This window comes from Homo sapiens, chromosome 7 (assembly GCF_000001405.40).
Source record: "Homo sapiens chromosome 7, GRCh38.p14 Primary Assembly".
Taxonomy (NCBI): domain Eukaryota; kingdom Metazoa; phylum Chordata; class Mammalia; order Primates; family Hominidae; genus Homo; species Homo sapiens.
In genome coordinates this window covers 113,080,206-113,089,468 of record NC_000007.14, presented here as the reverse complement: position 1 = coordinate 113,089,468, position 9,263 = coordinate 113,080,206, and the positions used below count along the sequence as shown (strand labels likewise).

At 37.8% G+C, this 9,263-nt stretch overlaps 1 protein-coding gene across 6 annotated transcripts, besides 1 other annotated feature; it reads left to right on the top strand.

Annotated features, from left to right (window-relative positions):
- The first annotated feature begins 1,744 nt into the window (after positions 1-1,744).
- On the top strand, positions 1,745-7,184 carry GPR85 (G protein-coupled receptor 85). Of its 6 annotated transcripts, none has more exons than NM_018970.7 (3): positions 1,745-2,029; positions 3,363-3,477; positions 4,578-7,184. In NM_018970.7, exon 3 carries the CDS (start codon positions 4,748-4,750, stop codon positions 5,858-5,860), a length of 1,113 nt encoding a protein of 370 aa, NP_061843.3. In that variant the 5' UTR covers positions 1,745-2,029; positions 3,363-3,477; positions 4,578-4,747; the 3' UTR covers positions 5,861-7,184. The 6 variants fall into 6 exon arrangements, with proteins under 6 accessions (NP_061843.3, NP_001139737.1, XP_016867841.1 ...); NM_001146265.2 differs by having other exon boundaries at positions 3,360-3,477; XM_017012352.3 differs by lacking the exon at positions 1,745-2,029 and adding an exon at positions 2,642-3,147.
- Positions 2,897-2,956: a silencer, noted in NCBI's record as "silent region_18546". NCBI's record gives its function as "represses an Ori minimal core promoter by ATAC-STARR-seq in GM12878 lymphoblastoid cells {active_cell/tissue: GM12878}" and the evidence as "EXISTENCE:reporter gene assay evidence [ECO:0000049][PMID:35858748]".
- Positions 7,185-9,263: the final 2,079 nt, after the last annotated feature.

The following is a 9,263-nucleotide window of genomic DNA, read 5'->3' as shown; positions in this document are numbered from 1 at the left end:
ACAAATTTACAAGAAAAAAACAAACAACCCCATCAAAAAGATAGTTAAAGTTTTAAAGAAAACTTTAAAAAGGCTCTTTTTCATATACAACTTTAAATTTTGGTAACAGTTGAGAGCACCAAAGACACACGTTTTATGCTTTAAGCAGAAGACATGTCATTTGAAATGAATTACTAAAAATCTTTTATTTAGAATGTTTATTCTAGTCTATTATTCTCTGCAATTACCAAGTGTTATTTCCTGACACACACTTTCATGTAAACAATGCACAGAAAAAAACACTGTTTTTGCTGATCATGATACTATGCATCAGTTGGCAAAAATCTGAAATAGATTAATTTTGAAAGCAAGGTCATTGGTTTTTAAAATAAAATGGTATGTACTTTTTATAAGAACCAAATTAAGCAAATTATATCAGTTTTCCTAATACACTGATCAATATAGTACATGTAATATTCCAACAGTTTGTAAATCTTCAGAACCCTTCAAACCCAAGGATTAGAGCATATAGTTTTGTTGTATTTGCTTTGTTCTTTTACTCTTAACCTGAAAATCAAATTTTCTGGGTTTGGTGATGTAGGGGATAAAAAAAAAAGAAATTAGTTAAGACCAACTAAGCCTATGATCTAAACAATTTGAAGCAATAACTTTACATTTGAGAACTTGTAGATGATATGAAACTTTTGTCAGCTATTAAACATATTTTTTAAAGCCCTGCTGATGAAAGATGTAGCTTCCAATGTTTTCTCCAGTAGAGTTAATGAGCTAGATAGAAAATATCTCATTAATTTCTTGAGTCCCCTTGTGAGGCAAGAAAATGACATTCTTATCCAACAGCTGGAAAAGCTGAAGAATTAGTGGATGTAACTGTGCTCAACTGCAAAGGAAAAAAATAGCTTTACTATACCCTGAGATGTGGATATGAAAGAATATTGCATACACATATACCCTCTCCCTTATTTTTAAGGAATCAATATCTGCTTAAAGAATAAGACTAGTTAAAACCCTTGGATCTTGGCCCTATAACTTTTGGCAGAGTATATTACTGCTTCATGGCCTGGCAGTGCAGTGACTCTTTTAATTTACTTTAAAATAGCTTTTCCCTAATCTGTACAACCTAACATCTGACCAATCATGAATCTTCAGCAAACTTAAGCCTCTTATTCCATACATTTTTTAAAACTGTAAAAATTCAGGAAATAACTCTTTGCAAAGTACATTGAAGCATTTATTGGGAAGCAAAAAAGCACAAGTTGAAGTGATTTGTAGTTTCATAAAAACGAATTTGACATTTTACTTAGAAGTTGCAAACCACCACATGGTTTTGAGTTTTGAATTCATTTGCTTTGCAAAAAGTGGAATGTTTTATTTGAATGGAAATGCCCTCAAGTTACTTCCAGCATGGCTGTAGGATTGATTTTTCTAGGTTAAGGGAATGCCAAAGTTTAGTGCCTTGTGTATATTCTTTTCGAAAAAAACAAACTATTATCCATGTATTTAAATGGACGTAGGAAATTCAAGAACAAATCAGGGAAATTTAACATCATTTCAGTATTACCAACATAGGGCTTTGTGTAACGACTGTGACATCAAGATAAGGCTTTACCTCGGCTCATCCAATAGAAATACAGTATGTAAATTAACCCATATTATCTGTATGCTGATTGGCCTGAGTTCCCCTGAATGTCACAATCTCACCACCCAGCAATGAGGTATTTTACTGCTGTCTCAAGATCAGATTATTACTGTAGAGAAGATTTTTATTTTTTGTTTCATTAACAGATTATTATAAAGCAAAAAGCATGCAGAAAAAGAAGCAGACGTTTTACATTGGGAATTAATGAAAGCGTGTCTGCTAGTTTTGGGTAGGAGAACTGGGAAGTTGTTGCTTAAAATTTTATATCACCTCCACAAACAAAACTCTTCGGAAATGGTAAAATAAGAAAATGCATGATTCTAGAGGCATTCCTAAGCACCCACGTGTCAGGCTTTGTGGTGTCTGTGGTATCATCCGACCGTTTGGACTGGTGTAAGTTTTACGTATTTGTTATATTTCTAGTATTTTTCATCTGTAATAACAAAGGGGAAAAAAGGAAACTCGTACACATAACTGCTTTGACATCACCCATCATTGGTCAGCGGAACTTGTAAGAAGGGAAAAGGAATACTGTTGCTTGGTGGGGTGGAATGCCAGGAATAGCCATTTAAACATTTTATAAGCCTGATTCTTTAGTGACATCCTTTAAGGTAGACTGAATGTAAATCATATTGTAGTTGTCCTCTGAACTTAGCTTTCTCCCTACTTTTACGCATATTTGCGTGCATTGGAGAATAGAAGATGACTAACAAAGAGAGAGCTGCCCTAACGTGCCTTCCCTTCTTCCCCATTGAAAAGATTTTTAACTGTGGGAAAAAGATAAATAAATAAATAAATAACTTTTTTTCTTTTTTCCCATTCTTTTCTTGTCTTTTTCCAGCTAACCTGCAAATTTAAAGGTTAGCTGGAGACATCACTTAAAAATAAATATATAAAAGAAGCCTCCGGTGGTTTGGACCACCCTAAAAGAAAAGGGAAGAAAGTGTCTGGGGAAGGTTAGGGTTCCGGGAAGCTGAGGGAGGGGGCGGGCGTCACGGGCACTGTGACTTCCTCGTGCGCTGCCTTTGGGAAGAGGATGGGCCTGAGGTCCTGAAAGGGCCTTTCCAGCCCCCCACTACAAATGCGGGGAGGGAAAAGTTCAGAAGCAGCCACGAAGGGACAAAAGCTTAATGCTGCCAGTTGGATTGGACAGGGCAGTCAATAAACCCAGCCAGCTCTGGAGTCAGGTAGGGGTTCCTGCTGGTTCCACAGAGGCTGAAGCAGCCCCGCCGCCGCCCTCGCCACCGCAGCCGCCGCCGCCGCGGCCCCTGCGTTACTGGGGGAGACGGTGCCGCTGCGACAGGGGAGGACGCGGCTGGAGCTCAAGGAGGCTCCAGCGCGCAGGCGCCGCCGAGCCCTGCCTGGATGCTCAGTCAAGGCACTAAGGCAAAAAAAAAAAAAAAAAAAACAAAAAACAAAAAAAAAAAAAAAAAAAAGAAAAAGAAAAAAAGAAAAAAATCAGCAATTTATAGAAAGAAGCTATAGTCTGTCGGGATATCCAACACCAACAGGTAGGAGGATATACTCTTGGTTAAGTTTGGGGGATGTGGGGGAATGCACAGTGTTGATGAAACTGCAGGTTCACCGAGAAAGAGCCCTCCCTCAGGTTGTGTGTGTGTGTGTGTGTGTGTGTGTCTCTGTGTGTGTGTGTGTGTGTGTGTGTGTATGTGTTTTGTGACAATAAACTGCATAATGGAAGTACATTCAGACAATGCATCTTCAGTAGGGCTTACTGAGAGCTCCATTTCTGGAAAGCCTTACAAGACTGAGGAATATCAGACTGCGAATCACCGGGAACGGTTCCTTTGCAGCACAGAAGCAATCTCTCTCCCCATCTTCGCGTATGTAATGCATGTCTCTCTCCCTCTCCCCCTCCTCCACCCTCCCCCCATTATAAATCCAGGGGTGGCGGATTTCAGGTTTCGTAATGTTGCATGATGCGATCGGTATTTACCCGAGGATGTACCGGTGGGGAAATTAAAATCATCGAACGCAGTTTTGCCTGGGCTTCCACCAGCATATTCCGGGCCAGTGAGAAGTGGCAAAAGAAACACGCTTGGTGGGAATAACAGAGGAAGCCGATTTCCCTGGTGTGGTCCAGGCACCTGCGAGACAATGTGCATTTTGTTTTAAAAAGCAGCCACTTGTGATTTGCAACAAAGGTTATCAGTGTAAATGGGAAAGGCTTAATTGCCCAAGAAATACAGGTTCATGTTATATTCATTTGAATCCAGGCAGCCAAGGTTTACAAATGGAAGTGCATTATTCCTCTGGGTGTGTTTCCCTGTCCAATATTTACATTAACCATTTTAATAATCATGTGGGCTTAAAAGATTTGCCAGAAATGGGGGGTAGGGTGGAGAGGGAAAGACAAATGATTAAATCACATCAAATCTTGGGACAAGTAAGTTCCTATTAATTTTGAAGTTAATTTTGAAATTTTGCTTTAAGATGAATCAACAAATACTCTTATGCAGCATGAATAGTGGCACTTAAGATATATTTTGCACGGGTTCTTTGGACCCACATCAAACAGAGAAGCTGCCTGTGAAACACTGACAGATACTAATAGATCTCAAATAAATGTAGGTAGTGTCTCTGCCTCCTAATAGCAATCTTGTAGATTCCATTGCAATTCTAGTGGTTAATTCCTGGACTGGCATATTTTACAAGAATGGGACATTTTATTCCTTCTCTCCTAAAGTTACCCTATCAAATGTATATTGTCCAAAATAGGGACATTTTAAAATTCACTTAGCTTGAAAAACTAAACAAGCCAATTCTCTGAAATCTCGAGCAAAAATATTTAGTAAAGCAAATATTAGTATTCAAAATTAAAACTTTATTTGCTTCCCCATAAGTGAACAGCTTTGTTAGCACTGTCTGACATCATTGCTTGTTAACTTAAGAACTGATAGGTTTTTTTTTTTTTTTTTTTCAGATATTCTGATGGCAAAACAAGTGGAAGAAAAGAGGAAGCATGACTGCAGATCAGATCAGTTCTCTTTGTGGATTATATTTTCAGTAAAATGTATGGATCTATCTTTTCCTTGTTCTTATATCTAGATCATGAGACTTGACTGAGGCTGTATCCTTATCCTCCATCCATCTATGGCGAACTATAGCCATGCAGCTGACAACATTTTGCAAAATCTCTCGCCTCTAACAGCCTTTCTGAAACTGACTTCCTTGGGTTTCATAATAGGAGTCAGCGTGGTGGGCAACCTCCTGATCTCCATTTTGCTAGTGAAAGATAAGACCTTGCATAGAGCACCTTACTACTTCCTGTTGGATCTTTGCTGTTCAGATATCCTCAGATCTGCAATTTGTTTCCCATTTGTGTTCAACTCTGTCAAAAATGGTTCTACCTGGACTTATGGGACTCTGACTTGCAAAGTGATTGCCTTTCTGGGGGTTTTGTCCTGTTTCCACACTGCTTTCATGCTCTTCTGCATCAGTGTCACCAGATATTTAGCTATCGCCCATCACCGCTTCTATACAAAGAGGCTGACCTTTTGGACGTGTCTGGCTGTGATCTGTATGGTGTGGACTCTGTCTGTGGCCATGGCATTTCCCCCGGTTTTAGACGTGGGCACTTACTCATTCATTAGGGAGGAAGATCAATGCACCTTCCAACACCGCTCCTTCAGGGCTAATGATTCCTTAGGATTTATGCTGCTTCTTGCTCTCATCCTCCTAGCCACACAGCTTGTCTACCTCAAGCTGATATTTTTCGTCCACGATCGAAGAAAAATGAAGCCAGTCCAGTTTGTAGCAGCAGTCAGCCAGAACTGGACTTTTCATGGTCCTGGAGCCAGTGGCCAGGCAGCTGCCAATTGGCTAGCAGGATTTGGAAGGGGTCCCACACCACCCACCTTGCTGGGCATCAGGCAAAATGCAAACACCACAGGCAGAAGAAGGCTATTGGTCTTAGACGAGTTCAAAATGGAGAAAAGAATCAGCAGAATGTTCTATATAATGACTTTTCTGTTTCTAACCTTGTGGGGCCCCTACCTGGTGGCCTGTTATTGGAGAGTTTTTGCAAGAGGGCCTGTAGTACCAGGGGGATTTCTAACAGCTGCTGTCTGGATGAGTTTTGCCCAAGCAGGAATCAATCCTTTTGTCTGCATTTTCTCAAACAGGGAGCTGAGGCGCTGTTTCAGCACAACCCTTCTTTACTGCAGAAAATCCAGGTTACCAAGGGAACCTTACTGTGTTATATGAGGGAGCATCTGTAAATCTTTAGCCTTGTGAAAACTAACCTTCTCTGCTGAGCAATTGTGGCCCATAGCCATATTTTGAGAAGAAATTCAAGAATGGAATCAGCAGTTTTAAGGATTTGGGCAACATTCTGCAGTCTTTGCAATAGTTCACCTATAATCCTATTTTAAATCTCAGAGTGATCCTGCTGACTGCCAGCAAAGGTTTGTAATTAAGAAGGGACTGAACCACTGCCCTAAGTTTCTTTATGTGGTCAAAAACTAGATAATGAAAGTAGCAGGTGCTAAGTATCAGTGCTAAATGCTCTGTATGTCACTACATATGAAAAAACATCAAAAAACAATTAGCATTGGACATCTTAATAAATTAAGTTGACATGAGGTAAATGTGTTGATAAAAACTAATTTTAGAAGTTTGAAGACTTTAAAACATTTCATACTACTATTGTTTTGCAAAGACTAAAATATTTGGGGACTTAAAGTACTGTAATCCACTAAAGACGTGCCAATGAATTATTGGAATATCACACTTTAAAAACCGCCTTGTAAGTTCTGGGGAGCATTCCAAAGCAGTATATTGGTTCCAATTAGAGTTTACTTTTTTTGTATTAATACATTGCTATTTCTAAATACCACTTTCCTCATCTACTAGTAAGATTGCTAGCATTGAACTGTATTATGTGGTTTTTGTTGATTTGGTATAAAGTTTTTCCAATTCATTTATATTTTACAAATGCTAGATATTGGTCTGGGAGGCAACATTAATGGTACCAGCCTGTCACAACTGAGCAGTTCTAATAATGCAGAATAAATACATGTTGCCTTAAAGGGTTATCTAGTATCCTTCATCTTATTTAGCACTGGAGCAAATAGCCAAGGGAAATCAAATCAGTAACTGGTCATGGTCATGCATCTAAAAGTGCATGGAAGATCATTTATTACTTTTTCCTTTTTTCTCACATGGTTTGAAACTTAAAGTGCACATCACTGAAATAATGAGATTTTCTTCTACGGTGTGCTACCCTTTCTAAACTGTTCTAAGAAGCAGGCAGTTGATGTATGTTTATATTTTAAGTCAGCTGTCAAGGGGAGACCACAGCCTTAGTATGACATCCTGCACAATTTGTGAAGCATTTATTCTACTGAAGGCACAGTCTTGTTTATACTTTCTGCACATTCAGTGTATTGGTAATTTAAATTATTTCAGTTTTAACTTGTGAAAGCTTATATTATGATTTCTGGTATTTTAGAAATACATTAGAGTCTGTGAGTCTCATTCTTTAAGATACAGATGTGTGAACTTCAATATAAAGTTGCATTTGCCAAAATTTACCCGTGTAGCCTGTTAATTTTCTTGAAATAAGTTTTACATTTTTGGCACATAACAACTTTTTTTTTAATTTGGGAGGCAAGCACAAACTAGGAAGACTAGCTTTATTATGGTTTTGCTTTTTGATTCTTGTAGCTACTACATTCCAGACTGGAAATGTATGAATGATAATCAACATAATGCTGATAAACTGACATAATATTATCTGTAAAAGCATTATTTGGTAGTTTATTATAATCATCCCTCTATTATTCTTAAATGCCAGTAGTATTTAGAGATGTGTACCTGCTTAGTTAATTGGCTCAGAATTTTAATATAAACATCACACTTTAATTTGGAGCATAGTACCATAGAAATTTGGGGTTCTAAATATACAACTTGTAAGAAGAATGGTTTACACTAACATTATGACAAAACTAGAAAAAGTTATTATTTTTGTTTGCTTTCTGTTGTTTTGTTTATTGGTTGGTTTTTGTGAAGTTTATTTTTTTTTGGTATTTGATAATTAAGATTAGGAATCTAATAACACAGAATTCCATATTGCTATAGTACTTCTGTAAAGAGAATATCAATATAAATAAGGAAAATAAATCAATGAAATGTTTCAATGATATATGCAACTATTCAGTTTTGCTCTTATAAGGACAGCTCAAGCCATGAATTAGTGAGCATTCTGACCTCATTTTTACTTTACACCAAAGTTGATTAGATCTGAGACAAAATTTAATGCACAACAGTGAGTTGGATCTAGCAATAAAGTCTCCTTGGTACTGAAATCATTATCTAAAATAAAGGAAATGTTATCAAAAGATGTTCTGATAACATTGTGATTGTAACTCAAAAAAATTTATAGTAGAAACGTAATTGCAATGATGATAATAACTAACTCTGCTTAGAGGTTCAAATATCACCAGCAATCAGTAAAAAATTCAGCAATAATCTTAAGGCCAGAGAGAACAGGTTCACCATTGCATAGACAAGAAAACAGATATGGGTTAAGAGTTGGGGACTGAGGAGTCAAGAGCAACGGCCACGTGAAGCTGCCTGACTCCACCTAGCTATTTGGAATAACCGATTCCCACAGTTTTGGTAAGAAACCAGCCCCAGTAATCAGTAAGTCAGGCTGAACTGCAGTGACTTTTATTTAAGCCTACTCCTGACTAACTTGGCATTTGCAGGTCAAGCAGGAAGCAGTTGACAAGACACATCCTCAGTGAATCAATGCCATTTGTAACTCAACTGGTAACAGTAGTAATCATACAAAATAAAAACCTGCTTCAGTGTCTTAATGACCAAATCACATTATCTATTTTAGCACTCATTCCAAAATTCAGTATTTAATGTAATTAATCTTTAATCCATAAAAATACATCCCCACTGTAGCGGGGCAGGGGGTGTCCAACTTCCCTGTGAGACTGATTATCAATAATAATGTGTCTCCCTCTTGGACTGAGCACACATCTGAGCTGAACGGCCTTTAAATTGTTTTTCATAATAGTGGTGATATGTTTGCGTGGATACGTCTGTACTATTTCATCTGGTTCATTTTGCATGTAATAGATTTATCTGTGAGATGCCTGGCTGAAGCTAGGCATTCAGTCTGTGACTGTGGAATCCTATGCAGGTATTAACCAAGGCAGAAAGAGGTGAGTAACTTGCCCATTTCTCCACAGAGACCCCATTTAAATAACACAAAATTGACCACAGTGATTAGATGAAAAAATTATTTGTAGATAGGATAATCTATTGACTGAATTATCTTTTGCAGATATCAGCTGGTTGGATTTCTCACCAGGATTGTCTATAGAAGTTAACTGATTTATGATTGTTAACACATAAATATGGCCACTTATCCATTTGCCTCAACTTCCATGGATGCTACCTGAATTGTTTGTTCATTTATTTACTTTTTCAACAAATATGTGCTGGGTGCTGGGCTTGGTGCTGAGTGCATAGTGGAAAACAAAGCAGAACAGTCTCTCATTTAGATTTCTTAATCTAGTGGGAAAGAAACAATAAATACATAGTAGCAATGAGTTGTGAGTGTTAATATGGTAAAAATTCCCTAAGAAGAACT

Excerpts from the sequence above, each read along its gene's own strand:
- GPR85 (NM_018970.7), top strand. The coding sequence starts at position 4,748 with ATGGCGAACTATAGCCATGCAGCTGACAACATTTTGCAAAATCTCTCG.